The sequence below is a fragment of the Homo sapiens genome, chromosome 10 (assembly GCF_000001405.40).
Source record: "Homo sapiens chromosome 10, GRCh38.p14 Primary Assembly".
NCBI lineage: Eukaryota > Metazoa > Chordata > Mammalia > Primates > Hominidae > Homo > Homo sapiens.
Genome location: NC_000010.11, coordinates 28069194 through 28087297, shown reverse-complemented (window position 1 = coordinate 28087297; position 18104 = coordinate 28069194). Strand labels below are relative to the sequence as shown.

Below are 18104 nucleotides of genomic sequence, written 5' to 3'. Positions count from 1 at the left end.
TAATAGCTGGAAGTTTGGGCATCTGGCGAGGGCCTCATGCTGCTTTGACTTGTGGAAGGCGAAGGGAATCCTGTGTGTGCAGAGATCACGTGGAGAGAGAGGAAGCAGGAGTGGTGGGATGTCAGGCTGTTTTTAACAACCAGCTTTCTTGGGGGACAAATAGAGTGAAAACTCACTCACTGCCTCACGCCAGGGAGGGCATTAATCTATTCATGAGGGATCTGCTCTTATGACCCAAACACCTCTCCTTGGGCCCCACTTCCAATGCTGGGATCAAATTTCAACACGCAATTTGGGGGGACAAACATCGAGACTATAGCTAGAGGGAAAAATAAAATGGGAAACTTCATTATCTTGGAGGCCACCTCTCCAGATTTGACTCCATCTACACTCTGCCTGGTTTTGTTTGCCTTTCAGAGTCCCTAGGTTGTTGCCTTTTGTGCGCTGTCCAGAGGTTTGGGCTGTATTCAGCGGGGGATAGACTCTGGTGGGCTTTCCCCGATATAGTGGATCTGGAACTCTCTGAAGCTTTAAACTCCTCTGACACAACTTGGCCTTTCTTCATGGGTGTGCCTTAATCAGCCTCCTCAAAACTGTGTAATGGAACCCCAGCCCTACTGGTCAGCAGTTGAAACGGTCGTCAGGACAAAAGAATATCACAGCATCATTCCAGCTACCTTTTGAGGCAAAATAATGCTCCCAGAATTATATATCACCACATTCTATTGTCAGCCAAAAATCATAGAATGACCTGAGGTATTTTCGCTTCTCCTGTCTGAATGCTAATTGTCCTGATCCGTGATCACTGATTGCACTAAAATTCATCTGGCTGAAATCATCAGTAAAGAGATTAATTGTATGCACTTCAGTTGCCCTGTTTCCCCTTTGGCCTTTGGGTTCCTGGTACCCGAATTCTGAATTGAATGTGGACTCTGTTTTGGGGCCAAGTGCTTTGCTTTTTTTCTTTCATTGTTTTCTCTTCTTTCTTTCTTTACTTTCCTTTAAATTCTGGGATACATGTACAGAATATGCAGGTTTGTTACATAGGTATACATGTGCCATATGGTGGTTTGCTGCACCCATCAACCCGTCATCTAGGTTTTAAGCCCTGCATGTATTAGGTATTTGTCCTAATGCTCTCCCTCCCCTTGCCCCCACCCCGCAGGCCCTGATGTGTGATGTTCCCCTCTCTGTGTCCATGTGTTCTCATTGTTCAACTTCCACTTATAAGTGAGAACATGCGGTGTTTGGTTTTCTGTTCCTGTGTTAGTTTGCTGAGAATGATGGTTTCCAACTTCATCCATGTCTCTGCAAAGGACATGAACTCATCCTTTTTTATGGCTGCATAGTATTCCATGGTGTATATGTGCCACATTGTCTTTATCCAGTGTATTATTGATGGGTATTTGGGTTGGTCCCCTCCCTTTTCTCACTTTATTTTTTAATTCCCAGCAGAATCCTAAAGCCTTTTTTTTCTAGCCCTGTGATATCAATCCTATTGCAATGACTGCTGTTTCTGTCTCCTGTTTGAAATTCCTTAAGTTTGATTCCTGATTCTCAGAGATTTCCCCTTTGTCTTCCAACAGGGATATTCCCTCGACATAGTCCTAAACTGGAGATGCTAAATACTGATGCTCCCAAGTGGCACAGTCAGTGAACGTTTATATTGCCTTTGATAGGTGCTTCTGCCAATGAGTGTTTCCTCATTCTCTATAGATTTCCAGGCCTTAAGTAAATAATTAATTGCATTGCTTCAATGACAACCAAAATATCTGTTTGAACTTCTTAGGTTTCTCTGCTACTAAGATCTAACTGTCATGTTTCACTACCCTCTGCTGTTCCCAACTCCTTTCAAACAGTCTCAAGCAAGTTTTTAAATTTTAACTTGTTTTTAAGAGGGTCCTGTCCTTCCTCCATGCTATATAATAACAGTAACTAAGAGCTATGAGTGTATTCCTTCAGTCCTCATCATGACTACATGGTAAATACTCTTATTATTCCCTGTTTTACAGATGAAGAAACTGAAGCACAGAGAGAAGTAGGTAACTTGTCTAAGATCCTGAAGCATTAAGTTACAGAACCGATTCAGACCCCAGCAGGTGGACACCAGAACCCTACTTCTTATCTTACTGTAGAATATGGCTTCCAATCTTAAAATTAGGGCAGTACTTGACACTGTGCTGGATCTAAATATCTTACTTTTTAAAAAATCTCCTTGATTAAAGGACTGTTCATTCATTTTCCTGACAGATACCTCCTTGCTTTGTGAAAGTTTAGATGTGAGTCTAGTGAAAGCGTTTATGTTCACTTGAATCCTGCCCACGTCTACAACTTGAGTTTCCAATGTAGGTCTCCCTAGGTCAGTTCAATAGGCTTGGTGGGCTCACCTCTCTCTTTCCTACACGCTAATTCTGCACACTGTCTAGGCAGGGTTTCTTACTGCACCTGTCATTACTATTTCACTGCCCTGCTCCTTAAAATTTTTCAATAAATTCCTAAAGTGCTGATTTTCCTGGTCTTTCCCTCTCAAATTTGTTCACATTTCCCATGGTCAACCTGGGATAAGTCTTCCACTTACCACGAAAGGTTATATTCATAATCTGTCTACTGCCTTCAGAGTTCAGAGATTGTCTCTCAATAGTTTTTTGATTGCCATAGATAGAGGTAGTCTTGGAGAATATACAGAGGGAGGAGCTCCTGCCCTTCTCCTCTGACCTCCAGACCCTATTCCAGGGCTTGTCAGATTTAACATGCATTCTGGTCACCTGGAGGTCTTGTTAAGATGCAGTTTCTAATCTGGTAGCCTGAGGTGGGGTCAGAGAGCCTGCATTTCTAACAAGCTCCCAGATGATGCTGTTGCTGCTGGCCTGATTAATTAGGGTACATTTTGCTTTTCCCCTATTGCTGCTGGTTCAGATGCAGATGCTGTGAGGTCTGGTGCTGTGCACACAGGGAGAAGCCTTGTTGCTCTGTTTGAATGGGTTCAGTTGCCATTGCCTTCTTTGGTTAGTGATTGTGAATTGGCTGCCATTTATTTTGATTTTCTACTTTTCTTGGCATTGTATTTCAGTTTTGTGCTTTCTCATGTATGCCTTATAATGATGGCTTAGAAACTTTTGGTTTCCTCTTAATCTTTCTGCTGTTCAGGATTTGCTCAGCAATATTTCAGGTTTTGGCTTGTCTGTTTTGATCAACAGATTTGTTATGATTATTAGCCTTTAGTCTGAAATTCCTCTAGGAAAATTAACTTTATGTGAAACTCTTTAGCCCCTAACACGTTCTTTTCCTATTTTGGAGCAATTGCTGGTATAAGGCAGTATTTCTTAAATCTGTGACAATTGGATTATAACAGAACAGACTTAATGGAGAATATTCATTTTATTCTTTTTGTCATGTTAGATCACATTTTCTCTTCAGGCGAATTGTATTTCCTGTGTCTCTATATAAAAAATAGAGTAAAGGCCAGGTGCGGTGGCTGATGCCTGTAATCCCAGCACTCTGGGAGGCCGAGGCAGGCAGATCACTTGAGGTCAGGAGTTCGAGACCAGCCTGGCCAACATGGTGAAACCCTGTCTCTACTAAAAATACAAAAATTAGCCAGGTGTGGTGTCGGGCGCCTGTAATCCCAGCTACTCGGGAGGCTGAGGCAGGAGACTCACTTGAACCCAGGAGGCAGAGGTTGCGGTGAGCTGAGATCATGCCAGTGCACTTCAGCTTGGGGAACAAGAGCGAAGCTCCATCTCAAAAAAAAAAAAAAAAAAAAAAGAGGAAGAAAATCATGTAAGCATGGTATATTAATGCAAACTTCTTAGTAATAGTTCTACTAAAGAAAAGATCTAGAAACTTTCCAGAATCAAGAATGCCTGTACAGCTGGAGGCTTGGAAATTTCAGCCCCCTGGTGTCATTAACAGAACATTCCACCTCTACCCCACTGTGGCCTGTGTACAGCACGACACTGTACAGTGGGATCTGGTGATGGCCAAGGCGGTTTTATGTAACTGTCCTTCAGAAGTATTCCCTATTATTTGCTTTCTTCTTTGTATTCCTTACTCAGAAACCCTTTCAGCTTATGTGTATGGCACATTGGAAGTATCAGAAGCTTAGAGCCTGTTACGTGGAGAAATCCCCATCTCTTTATATCCTGTGAGGCAGGATAATATAGAAGATGAGAGATGAGCCTCTGGGACAAGATGGCTGCCTTCCAGTCCTGTGATGCCCTTCAGTAGTCACATGACACGGGAACAATTCAAATTTTCTCTGGGCTTCAGTTATTCATCTGAAAATTTGAGATAATAAAAACACCTACTTTCTAGGTTTGTTTTGAGGGTTAAACAAAATAATCTGTGCAAAGATGCAGGCCAATTCATGCACCTAGTATGGTTTTAATAAGAAATATTTATTGCCCAGCATAGTGGTGCATGCCTGTGGTCTCAGCTGTTCGGGAGACTGAGGCAGAAGGATCACTTGAGCCCAGGAGCTCAAGACCAGCTAGATACAGTGAAACCTCGTCTCTAAAAATAAAAAAAGAGACTGAGCGCAGTGACTCACACCTGAATTCCCAGCGCTGAGGGAGGCTGAGGCAGGGAGAGTGCTGGAGGCCAGGAGTTCAAGCCCAGTCTGGGCAACATAGTGAGACTCCATCTTTATAAAAAACAAAACAAAATAAAATAAAATTAGCCAGGCAAGGTGGTGTGTGCCTGTAGTCCCAGCTACTTGGGAAGCTGAGATGAGAGGATTGCATGAGTCAGTGAATTAGAGATTACAGAGAGCTGTGGTTATACCACTGCACATTCTGGGCTGGGCAACAGAGTCTAAAAGAAGAAGGAGGAGGAGGAGGAAGGATAAGGAAGGAGGAGGAAGGAGGAGAAGGAGAGAAGGAGGAGGAGGAGAAGGAGAAGAAGGGGAAGAAGAAGGAAGAGGAGGAGGAGGACTTACATATTAACTAAACATAATAAGATAAACATGAAATGTTCAAATATCAGTAGGCTTCTACTGGTTTTGAACCTCAGTGTTAAAACACTTATTAGATTATCTAGAAGTTTATCATCTGAAATAGGTAATGAAGCCATGGACACAAATTTTGGAAATTCTGGGTTATTCCTGAATTAACTGTTTACTGTTTAGTTTATGATTATAGAAACGTTGTATACATAGGAATTTATTTCCTTGGCTCCTACAATGTGTATTTATGTAGGAAGATGGAAAAAGTATAAGTGTCATAGTCCTCCTTGGAAATAATTTCTGGCTGGGTGCAGTGGCTCATGCCTGTAATCCCAGCACTTTTTGGGAGGCTGAGGCAGGTGGATCACCTGAGGTCAGGAATTCAAGACCAGCCTGGCCAACATGGTGAAACCCGTCTCTACTAAAAATACAAAAATTAGCCAGATGTGTTGGCAGTCACCTGTAGTCCCAGGTATTTAGGAGTCTGAGGCAGGAGAATCACTTGAACCTGGGAGTTGGAGGTTGCACTGAGCCGAGACTGTGCCACTGAGTGACAGAGCAAGACTCTGTCTCAAAAAAAAAAAAAAGAGAATAATTTTTTGCCCAGTGTTTCCAAAGCCATTGGGAAAAGTGACACTTGCTTTGAAACCGTTTCATAAATATTGTTGAGAAAATACAAAATATTATTTTTCTATATTATCATAATGCTATATGGTTTTTATTCTTATATTTAATGATCAAGAAATAATAATAGACCAAGTTGTTACCATGGCAAAAATACAATAATGGAGGACTTTGAGCTGTGATCAGAAGTATTATAATTTTCTCTTCATTTTGAAAATGTATTCTTCTTAAGCCTCATTTTAGCCACCAAAACATCTCAATGACAGTTTCTGTTAAATTTCCTTCTGCATTTAAAAGCATTTTCTAGAAAGTATGTTGAAACCAAATGTCAGGCTTTTAATACATTTTCCTACATGACAAGTCTTATCTTCAGTGAAACCCAACTTTTTGAAAAGTAAAGTAATAAAGTCAAATAATGTGTGTGTGGGTGAGGGAGGGAGCAGGGAGAAGACTTAGGTGTTAAAAAGCAACTAAAACACTTTTCACGTTTAAGCCAAAACAAGAGCAAAAATTCATCTTGTGGATATTCAGACAATTTGCGACTTGTTCTGTCTGGCTGGGAGGTACAAGAGAAACTAATAATAAATCTTTCTGTATATTTCACATTTTTAGCTTGAGCATCAGTACTATTCTGCTCTCCTTTGTGCTGAATCTTATGTGCTGCCCAAAGACTGCTTGCAGAGGTAATTTGAATAAACAGGCATTTATTATAAGACTGTCACTATTTTTTCATAAAACTGTGGCATAACACAAAGCCTCCCACATAAAGCAGAGTGCAAAGTAAGTGCTCAAAACTAAATGTGTTAGTGTGTTTATTAGAATTCTCATATCTTTTGTTGCACTTTGATGGAAGGCTTGTAGAATTAGAGTTGGCTCTGGAGGATTTTATATAGATAACTGTAAAACTGAAAGTCATAATGAAATTCCTGAGAATGTGATGGATTTAAAATTATAACCCTTGTATGTAAAAGGTAAATGTGATCTTCACTGGAGTCACAGTTGGCTTTTTATGCCGTTGGCCAATCTTAAATATTTATTTTCAGACTTCATTTCTGGGCATAAACCACAAATCTGTTCATTCAACTGAGTTTTACGGTGTACCAGCTATGCCAGGCACTGTTCTGAGCACACAAACATTTTTGCCCTTGTGCCATTTATGTTCTAATGGGAGAAGATGGACCAAAACCATATTTATAATAAATTAGTAAGAAATGATAAAATCACTTGTACAGTTGTTAGAAGGCGATAAGTCTATGGAAGAAAGTAAAGTGGAATGGGATAAGGGGAATGGAGAGTTGGGGACACAGACAGGATAGATTTTGAATTGGGAGCTTGGTGGCCCCATTCTGAGCAAACTCTGAAGTAAGGCAGTTTCTCATGCCCCCGTCTACTTAGCCACGGAACACTCAGGGATGATTTTATTTTGACCTCTTAATTTTATTGCACTCTTGTCATAGTTTTGAAGTAGAGTGAGATGAGTATTTTAGTCAGTCTATATAAGCGTAGAGTAAATAGCTGCCTGGAAAAAATGGTGCTCTTTCAATAAGCTTCCCACTTTTTACTTTTCTTTTGTTTTCCTTCCTTCCTTCTTTTCTTTTCTCTTCTTTCTTTTCTTTTTCTTTCCTTTCCTTTCCTTTTCCCCTCCCCTCTCCCTCCCTCCCCCTCCCCCTCCCAATCTTGGCTCACTGCAACCTCTGCCTTCTGGGTTTGAGCCATTCTTCCGCTGGGATTATAGGCACCCCGCACCACACCTGGCTAATTTTTAAATTTTTAGTAGAGATGGAGTTTCACCATGTTGGCCAGGCTGGTCTGGAACTCCTGACCTCAGGTGATGCGCCCGCCTCGGCCTTCCTAAGTGATAGGATTATGCCCATCCATATGCTTATTCTTTATGACTGTCATTTAAAATATACACATGTGCCACATTTCATTGATTTCAGTAATTATTTTCACAATAGTAATACATATTGCTGTTCAAGTAAATGTTTATTCATTCGCTCAGAATGTGCACTAACATGTAAATAAGTACAGAATTGAAGGTTCAAAACACAACGCCTGAGACCATGGCCATTAACAGGTTTTTTGTTTTTTTGTCAGTATAAGAACATTATACCTGGTATTTCAAATCATTCTTTCAGTGCATGTATGGTTTTGGGTGCGCTTCTAGGCGCTGATGTTATTGCCTGAAATCTTTTTCTACTCATTTAGCTTTGTTTTATTTTTTGTTTGTTTTTGTTTTGTTTTTTAGAGAGGATCTTGCTATGTTGCCCAGGCTGGACTCAAACTCCTGGTCTCAGGTGATCTTCCTGTCTCAGCCTCCCAAGTAACTGGGATTACAGGTGCAAACTGCTGCACCTGGCTTGTTTCTTTCTTTTTTTTTTTGTGGTATATGTCTGTATCAGATTTAAAAAAGTAGATTATTTGGGGAGACCATGTTTACAGAATGAAAAACTTGTATGCATCAACTGTGAATTAATTTTGAAAGTATACTGTGCTAGCATTCTAATCAAAATATACTTTTTGTTTTTTATACATAAACATTTGTTACAAATCATAAACACCTAAACATATTTGGGGAATACAAAGAAAATCTGAAACAGAACAATGAAAATACCCTACGTCTCATAATTACATTACATGAAATGAGGCAATAATGTCAACCAATTTCAAGATCATTTGGGGAAAAGGTGTCATGTATGTCTACCTTCTTCTATGTAAATTAAAGCTGAGAATTTGCTATAGATTTTTAACCTTTTTAAGATAAACATAAAAGAATCTTTGCATGTAGTTAACAGTGACTGTTTTCTTAAATTTAAAATCTTAAATAGAAATTGTATTAACATTTTATCGACACCTTAAATGGGCTACGTAACTTTGGTTAAAATGAATGAAACTTTTTATAAAACCATGCAACACATTTGCTTACTTTCAATAAGGAGTTACTAATTAAATGCATAAAAAGGAATTTAAAGTAGTATTATGCTTTTCTAATTATCTTAATTATCCAATTGACACACATTTTTCCCAAGACCTTCACGTAATACAAATTGATACACACAGCTTTATTCTTCCTTTCCAACATGGTTTTATAAATTCTTATGAAATATTTTTTAGATGAAGCAGATAAATACTTACTTACATTTCTGGTTTGGCTATAAACATTCTTTTCAAAGCTAAGAGACACACCAACTTTAGTTTACTGCCTGAATTCCAGATTAATAAGCTCCAAAATCATTTTTAATGTGCCTTTTTGGCTTTTACTTACATATATCATCTTTGTGTTTGATTTTCCTCAGTCCTGAATTGAGAATCCAACACATATGCCCAGTGTCTGTGGCCCAGGCCTGGTCTGCACATCATCCTCATTCAGTTTATATTAGACTTCTCAGAGATTCTGCACAGAGTGAGCTTTGAGATCACCAGATTTGACTTCTGCCACTTTTTGTAGCCTGAATCTCTGCCTATTCCTGGAGCATAATTAGTCATCACGAAGTATGGATTGCGTGGACTGGGGATGAGAGAGTCCGTGAAGTTCCAATTCACAGCCATAAACAGACAGCAGAGCAACAGCTACCCGAGTTCATGTTTTATTGGCATATTCTTTTCATAAGATCATAGGTAGAGTGGAAAGAATGCAGACTTTTGAGTTAGACAGACAGGCTTTTGAGCACCAGCTAAGCCACATGCCAGATGTGTGACCTTTGGGAAATTACCTCACCTTTCATTGTCTCAGTGTTCTCATCTGTAAAATGAGGATAATGATACCTTTCTTGCAGGGATGTTCTGAGGATGAGTAACAGTGTATGTGAACCATGTCACACATGCCTGTCATGTAAAAAGAACTCACTATGTCATCATCATAATTATGCCACAGCCTGTTGTCTATGATTTAAAGATGGGCTGTTTAGATTCTGTTCTCTTCTTCGCTTTATCATTAGCAAGCTCAGCTGAAAACGAACTACAGAGTAATCTACTTATATGTGCCCGTGTAAGTGTATTTCACCAATTGTGATAAAAATTTCTTTATCGAAGGGGTAAATGAAGCTATCCTATTGCAGAGGCGTATGAATAAACCTAACTCAGTTTGCATCCCTAAATTGCTTGGAATGTAAATAGATTTTGTATTCCAAATACAAACCAGACAACTAAAAATGTTGTGAACTTAGGCCTAACCCTAGAAAGAGGATACGGGACAGGATGGTGCATCTGAGCTGTGGTCTTTTAAAGTCAAGGGGAGACTCTAGAACTTCTCCAGTGGGGATGGCAGATTGATCCAAGGGCCTGACTGGGAAAATGCTGTTTGTAGGCCCACTGGACAATTTGGCAGTAAGAATGATTGAAATTATGTCTCTATTTTTAACCTTTCTTGGGAGGATACTTCTACCTTTGAAGATGATGACCTAGAATAACCTAATTTAGGGAAAATTTTCCAAATAAAGTCATTTGCCTCTGAATGTTCTTGGCACCCTACATGGGTGTCGTGAGCTTGCTTGTAAGGGTTAGATTATAAAGTTAGCATATTACCTAGGCCCAAAATCGAATATAGTCAAAATTTAAGGATATCACATTAGAGATGGCATATTTTTTCCCACTAATTCAAATATACCTAGTTTTTTTTTCCCTAGAGAGTTGATTTTTTTTTTTTTTTTGTAGTTAGAGATTTTTAAGAATAAGAAAGGAAGTGCTAGACCTATCTCACTTGGCAAAGTATCTCACACTCTAGCAGTCACTCCGGAGCTGAGACCTTCTAAGGAAATGGTGAATTTACATCCCTTCCTGTAGTTCTAGTTGTCTTGAGGGACAAGGCAGGCTGGGACACTCTATTTGCATTTTTTTTTTTTTTTCAGACGGAGTCTTACTCTGTCACCCAGGCTAGATCGCAATGGCGCCATCTCAGCTCAGTGTAACCTCTGCCTCCCACGTTCAAGCAATTCTCCTGCCTCAGCCTCCCAAGTAGCTGGGATTACAGGTGTGTGCCACCATGCCCAGCTAATTTTTGTATTTTTAGTAGAGATGGGGTTTTACCATATTGACCAGGCTGGTCTCAAACTCCTGACCTCAGGTGATCCGCCTGTCTTGGCCTCCCAAAGTGCTGGGATTACAGGCGTGAGCCACTGGGCCTGGCCTGGCCTCTATTTGGATTTTATAATAGTGTTTTGCTGTGTTTGCTTCTGTGTGTGTGTGTGTGTGCGCGCATGTGTGTGGGAACATATATAATTGGGTTTGCGTTATTTGTACTTAGAAGGTACCTTCATTGCAACACCACTTGTTTTCCTTGTATTTTCTCTATTTATTTGAAAAAGTGAGTTTTAGAACTTACTCTGAATACTTTTTGAACCTTTAAAGTAGGTAAATATGTAAGCCCCTACATGGTGCCTGACATATTATAGACAACCAATAAGCACTTATGTCTTTCGCCCTTTCCCTCAGAAGTCTCACCTGTCAATGCAGTCTCAGGTTTTACCTTGATGTGAATACATTCACAATGGAACCCTAGCCCTGTCCTCTCTGTTACATGGCAGCTCTTGTCTGAGTTTTGGGAGCAAGATTTTCTTTCTGTAAACTCACTGTACCTAGAGTGAATCCATCACCTCCCCTTTTATCTTAAGATAAAGAGCCAAGTTCAGATGTGAATTCCAGCAACTTCTATTGGTTAACTTGAGCAGATTATCTAATTTTCATATCCACACGTTCTAGGGGCAAATACTTTTTAACTTTCTCTCACACTCCTTTGGTTCATTCAACAAAGTTTCACCTGCATAATAGCATCATTATTGAGTATAATTTAAATAAATAATCTAACTAGGGCCTTCAATTTGCCAGCTAGGGAAGCCGTTGTTGAATAAGGCAGAAGGCATTCCTGTTTTCACAGAACTCACGGTCTGTTAGACAATCAAGACAAGGAAGCAGGCAAGTACAATGCAGTGTGATAATTCCTTGGAAGTGGAAGTACAGGAAACACATGAACTCGGGAACCTAACCCAAATGTAAAGTGTCAGAGAATATTTCCTTAAGGTGCATCTGAGCTGAATCTTAAACAACAAGCGAGAATTAGTCAGGTGAGAAGACAGGAGTGTGCATAAAAGAGCAAGTAGCACGTGATGAAGACCCAACACAAGGAGAAGTGGCCACGTTTCAGGAAGCAGGAGAAATTTCATGGCGCTGCAGCGTACAGTGCAAGGAAGGAGTGGCAAGAATTAAGAGGAGAGATCATAGTAACTTGCGTCGTGCAATCTATATAAACCTGTAAAAAAATTTACACTTGACTGTGGACACAGGATAAGACAAGTGGGAGGTGCTGGTGAGAAGTTTCGGGGCCATAAACCAGGATGGTGGAGAGAAGGGTGAACTACTGTGTGGGTTTTCTGCACTCTGTGGTTCAGGTGTGGGTATGGAGAGGGGCCAATGGGTTGATCTTAGATGGGATGTTTCCTTGGCACGTGATAGGGTTTGGATCTGTGTCCCCACCCAAATTTCATGTTGAAATGTAATCCCCAGTGTCGGAGGTGGGGCCTGGTGGGAAGCGATTAGATTATGGGGGCAGATTTTCCCCTTGGTACTGTGTCGTGATAGTGAGTTCTCACAAGATCTGTTTGTTTAAATGTGTGTGGCACTCCCCTCTTCCCCTTCTTCCTGCTCCCGCCATATGAGACACCTCACTCCCCCTTCACCTTCCCCCATGACTGTAAGTTTCCTAAGGCCTCCTCAGAAGCCAAGCAGAGGATAGAATCATGCTTCACAGGCAGCCTGCGGAACTGTGGGCCAATTAAACCTCTTTTCCTTATAAATAACCCAGTCTCAGGTATTCTTTATAGCAGTGTGAGAACAGACTAATGTGTGATAAAAGGACAGTGTGTAAAAGAGTTGAAGATATTAGCAAGAGTGGAAGACACCATGGCCCGTGAAAGTGGAAACATGAAGGGCTGTTGAATTAAGGGCTGGAGAAGAATTTAGAGTTAAGGGAAATGTGGAGCTTTTATTGTTGTTCTTGTTGTATTAAGGTAAGAGAGGCTTTATCAGTTTTAAGTGCTGATAGAAAGGAGCTAGAAGCAAGAGAAGTGAAGATTCAGGGAGAGCAATCTCTAAGAGAAGATGTGAGAGTATATGGCTGGAAGGAAGGATAAAGGCTGCTTTAGAATGGGCATTGTGGTTCATGCCTGTAATCCCAGCGCTTTGGGAAGCCAAGGTGGGTGGATCACTTGAGGCCAGGAGTTTGAGACCAGCTGGCCAACATTGCGAAACCCTGCCTCTACTAAAATTACAAAAATTAGCCAGGTATGGTGGTGCACACCTGTAATCCCAGCTACTCAAGAGCCTGAGGCATGAGAATTGCTTGAACCCAGGAAGCGGAGGTTGCAGTGAGCCATGATCACGCCATTGTACTCCAGCCTGGGAAGCAGAGTGAGACTGTCTCAAAAATAAAAATAAGCAAGTTAAAAAAAAAAAAGGTTGCTCTAGGTGGATCTAGATGCATCACTTTGTAGGAAGGACTTTGAAAACATTTCCATGTGTTGGCCTCTATGTTTTCTGAAGTAGTTGAGGTCTTCTGCTGAGCATGAGGTGGTGATAACAACACTAAATGTTTTATTTGTTCATTCAGCAGATGTTTATTAAGGATTTATTTGGTGGGGATGGTAAACAATATAATACTCCTGCCCTCATGGTGCCTCTATCTGGTGGGTGATACAGCCATTAAACAGTGTTTTGGCTAGTTGTCTGATTATGATTTTTAAGTATTATGAAGGAGATGTACAGGATGCTGTGGAACATGAAAGTGGGAACCCTGATCCTCTAGGATCAGGGGTGGCTTTCTGGAGGAAGCACTGTTTGAGCCAAGCTCTGAAGGATAGATCAGAATTCCTCTCAGCTTCAAGTAAAGGAGAGAGTTGCAGGCAGACAGGGCAGGGTTCAGATCACACAGACCCTTGTAGACTAGGTAAAAAAAAAATATTTTTTTTTTCTTGAGATGCAGTCTCACTCTGTCACCAGGCTGGAGTGCAGTGATGCAATCTTGGCCCACTGCAACCTCCACCTCTCAGATTCAAGCGATTCTCTTGCCTCAGCCTCCCAAGTAGCTGGGACTACAGGAACCCGCCACCATGCCCAGCTAATTTTCGTATTTTTAATAGAGACAGGGTTTTGACATGTTGGCCAGGCTGGTCTCGAACTCCTGATATCAAATGATCCACCTGCCTTGGCCTCCCAAAGTGCTGGGATTACAGGTGTGAGGCACTCCCCTCAGCTCCATGTAAAGATTTTAATCTTTTTTGGGAGACCCACTGGAAACTACATATCCAAGAATGTCAAGCATGGTTGCAACAGGACCAGAATAACTCCTGAAAAGACCTTTCTGGCTGCCAGGTGATGCTAGATAATATGGAAGGACAGCAGATGTAAGGCAGATAAAAGGCTGTTTCGGGACAGGAGGCAAAACAGGGGTATTGTGGCAGCAGTGGCAATGGGGAAGCATAGATCTGATAGATCTGAAGAATGTTTAGGAGGTGAAATTGGCAGCCTTTGGTGGTTGATTCTAGGGATATACAAGAGAGAAGTGACCAGGAGGCTCCCAGGTGTGGGTAGAGAGGAGCCTGGAGAAAAGTCGAAATTGCCATCATGGGGATCTAAGAAATCCAGATGATAAGGAAAACATAAAATGGTTGCTGGAGCACATGAAGGTCCTGGTTTATGCGTGGAGACCAGGAATGCGTGATGTTACTGCTGTCCAGGGGCTGCATGGGTTTTCTGCACTCAGCTCAGCAGTGGGTATGGAGAGAGGCCATTGGGTTGGTCTTAGATGGGTGGTTTCATTGGCAAGTGTGATAAAGGACAAGTGTAAGAGAGATGAAGACATTAACAAAATCATAGAAGTGAAATGTCCTTATATGACCATAGGTGTGGGAAGAATAACTGAGTGAGTGATCCAAGAAGATCAGAGAATGATACCATACTGGGGAATTTGGATTTAATATTTTCATAGTGAATCAGCTCCTAGTGATGGCAAAGGCCAGGCGTGCCATGTCATGGTTGAAGTGAAGTAGAGAGGGAGGTCACCAGAGATCAGGAAGTCAGAGGCTGCATTTGGAAGCAATTTCTACATGGATATTGATGTCACCCAAGATGATGGCAGGATTTGGGGTGCAGAGAATGACAAGGGTCAGGTACTAAAGTCATAGAGAGTGGTTTCCACAGGGGCAGGACTGCCCACTGGGGTGCATTATGGACATTGTTAGGGAACTTTTTTTGATGTCAAAATGGCTGATGGGTAGAGGGATGTAGACTTGACCCTTCTATAGAACAAAGATCTGACTGCATCCCACATTACTTCAACATGCTGTGCTAGACTTTCAAGGACTGAGGAGATGATGCAGCCTGTGGTGGGGTTTCTAGAAAAGCAAACTGTCTGGTGCACTGAAGCACTGTCTCATCCCACATACTATTCTTTATTTTATTTTATTTTTGAGACAGAGTCTCGCTCTGTCGCCCAAGCTGGAGTGCAGTGGTGCAATCTTGGCTTACTGCAACCTCCGCCTCCCTGGTTCAAGCAATTCTCCTGCCTCAGCCTCCCGAGTAGCTGGGACTACAGGTGCCTGCCACCATGCCTGGCTAATTTTTGTATTTTTAGTAGAGACAAGGTTTGACCATGTTGGCCAGGTTGGTCTCAAACTCCTGACCTCAAGTGATCTACCTACCTCGGCCTCCCAAAGTGTTGGGATTATATGTGTGAGCCACCGCGCCAGGCCCCATATACTACTCTTGGGTAAGCTCAGGTCATTTGTATTGTTTTCTTCACTTCGATAGCCTTGACATGCTATCCTTAGTTGTTTCCTTCTTTCCTTATCATATTCAAGGAAGTCTGATCTGTGGTTTCTATCCAAATGCTAGTTCTTATTCCTGGATTTACATGTACCACTGGGCTTTTGTTTTCCTGTTCTTTCTTGTGCAGAATAGCTCCTGATCTTTTAAATCCAAACTTATTTATTATAAGTAGGTGCAAACATCTGACTTGGTTAGGTTTTCTGCTCTAGTCATGCCAAGAATTTACATATTGAAATACATATTGCTTTATTATAAATTATTTTTTCTCCTTTCATATATTATTTTTAGTTAGGTCAATGTATTAATTTGGAAGGGAGAATTATGTCGATAAGTTATATTAGCAATTAATTCCATTTCAGGATATAAATGGGGTATTATGGCATATTTATTATAAGAGGGAGAATTGAGAGTTGCTGTCTTACAGAAAAGGGAAAGTTGCCAGAGAATTGATACTGGACAGCAGTGTGGAGAAAGGTTGAAGGTGGTAGTGAATGACCACCTCGGGACAGGTGTTTTTATACAAGGGTCAGGGACCTAGAAATGGCATTAGAGCAAGAACAGCACAGTCCCCAACTTCCCCCACTTTGTCTTTGCTCATCCTTTTCCCTCCACCTGGGATGCCCACCCTACTTCTCTTTACACCTGCATGTTCTCCATTGTATGGTGTAAAACCTTATTCTTTCAAAGCCTCCTGTGACCTCCTCAGGGTGGAAGAAGACATAGGCAAGGCAGTGAACAGTCAAGTACCTGGACACTGTGCTAGCCACTGTGCATGCGTTCTCAGTTCTCATTCATTCTGCCCAAGAAGGAAAAGGAACAGGCACACTTTTAGAAATAAAATGAAATCTAATTACGCCCCTGGCTTTGCCTTCCAGTGTCACCAGGTGAGGGCATAGCAGATGGGAAGAGATGGGACTCTACCTGAGGGCAGTGTGGTAGCTTGTGTCACCCGCTGAACCACACCATCCTTAAATGGACCCTGATGGCAGCATTGTGAGAAGCTTTTAGGTGGAAAGCAATGCTGGAAAGGGGGGACTTATGCCTGTCTAACTTTTGATTTCAGACTCATATTTGAAACTGCTCTTTGTTTTTTGTTTTTCTGGTCCCGGACTCATAATTAACCGGTGACTTCCTTTAAGATCAGAGTCAATTTGTCATCTTTTGTTGTCCGCAGAATCTACTGTATGCCTTGCTCCTTATATATGTCCAGTGTGTATACATTGATTGAGTAAAGTGTGTAAGGTCTAGGCAAGTTTTCAAATGCTTAAGGAAGTCTATAGTACAGGAAAAGGTCTCAGCACATGTAAATGTGGCTGATTGTTTAGCAGATGTAAAATGCGTAACTGAATTTGCATCCCAAATAAAGTCAGGGTGAAAGGTTTTGTTTTATTAACACTTAAAAACATTTAAAATTGACATTTTCACTATCTGCATTATGCAATTGAATTTTCTTAGGTAGACATGTTTTTAGGCTCTTGTGGGTAGCTTGTTATTTGGTAATACTTAAATACTCTTTTTTTGAGGAGTCTCACTCTGTCACCCAGGCTGGAGTGCAGAGGCGCGATCTCGGCTCACTGCAAGCTCCGCCTCCCGGGTTCACACCATTCTCCTGCCTCAGCCTCCTGAGTAGCTGGGACTACAGGCACCCGCCACCATGCCTGGCTAATTTTTTTTGTATTTTCAGTAGAGGTGGGGTTTCACCGTGTTAGCCAGGATGGTCTCAATCTCCTGACCTCGTGATCTGCCCACCTCGGCCTCCCAAAGTGCTGGAATTACAGGCATGAGCCACCACATCCAGCCTAAATACTCTAGAACATATCTCATTTAAACATAAATCTTTCTATCCTTTTTGAGGAAAAGGTGAGGATTTCAATTGAAAAAGTAAAAAAGCAACAAAAGAAATCTAGCATTTTCTTAAGTTCAAGTTAACAGAAAATAATCTCTTTACTTAGGATGCAAAGCTGGATCCATGTTTTCAGTCTGTCTTAGAGACTCATGTCAGTTACAGAAATGTTTATGTGGTGTTTTGTCCAATAATGAATTTCTGTTACCCTGTTTTTCAGGTCCCGTGGGAGTAGGGCTGAATGAACTGAAACGAAAGCTGCTGATCAGTGACACCCAGCACTATGGCGTGACAGTGCCCCGTGAGTTCTGCGCTACTCAGTGTTCCTATGACTACACTTACGATAATTTTAAATTTTTAAAAAATTATTTTAAAAAATTTTTAACTTGTTTTTAAAATTTTTTGGGTACATGGTAGGTATATGTATTTATGGGGCATGTGAGTTTTTTTTTTGTTTGTTTTGTTTTTTTGAGATGGAGTCTCACTCTGTTGCCAGGCTGGAGTGCAGTGGCGCAATCTCAGCTCACTGCAACCTCTGCCTCTTGGGTTCAAGCAATTCTTCTGCCACAGCCTCCCAAGTAGCTGGGAGTACAGGCACGTGCCACCACACCCAGCTTATTTTTTGTACTTTTAGTAGAGACAGGGTTTCACTATGTTGGCCAGGATGGTCTTGATCTCTTGACCTTGTGATCCACCTGCCTCGGCCTCCCAAAGTGCTGGGATTACAGGCGTGAACCATCACACCTGGCCAAGGTGTTTTGATACAGGCATGAAATGCTGAAATAAGCACATCATGGAGAATGTGGTATCCATTCCCTCAAGCATTTATCCTTTAAGTTACAAACAATTCAATTACACTCATTATTTTAAAATATACAA

At 41.2% G+C, this 18104-nt stretch overlaps 1 protein-coding gene and 1 non-coding gene across 15 annotated transcripts in view; both read left to right on the top strand.

Annotated features, from left to right (window-relative positions):
- Positions 1–18104, top strand: part of MPP7 (MAGUK p55 scaffold protein 7) — a 284211-nt gene that overhangs the window by 247906 nt on the left and 18201 nt on the right. For 13 of the 14 annotated variants that reach the window (NR_134518.2, NR_134517.2, XM_047424647.1 and 10 more), the window contains one exon: positions 17446–17526. Coding sequence is in view for 11 of the 14 variants with exons in the window: in XM_047424647.1 (XP_047280603.1) it covers positions 17446–17526 (81 nt within the window). In the remaining 3 variants the exon portion in view is untranslated. Of the gene's footprint in view, positions 1–6178; positions 6250–17445; positions 17527–18104 lie in introns of those variants that run through there. The other variant, XR_007061944.1, reaches the window with a different exon arrangement.
- On the top strand, positions 13920–14061 carry SNORD130 (small nucleolar RNA, C/D box 130). Its single transcript, NR_132973.1, has one exon. It is a non-coding gene; the product is annotated as a small nucleolar RNA, C/D box 130 (small nucleolar RNA).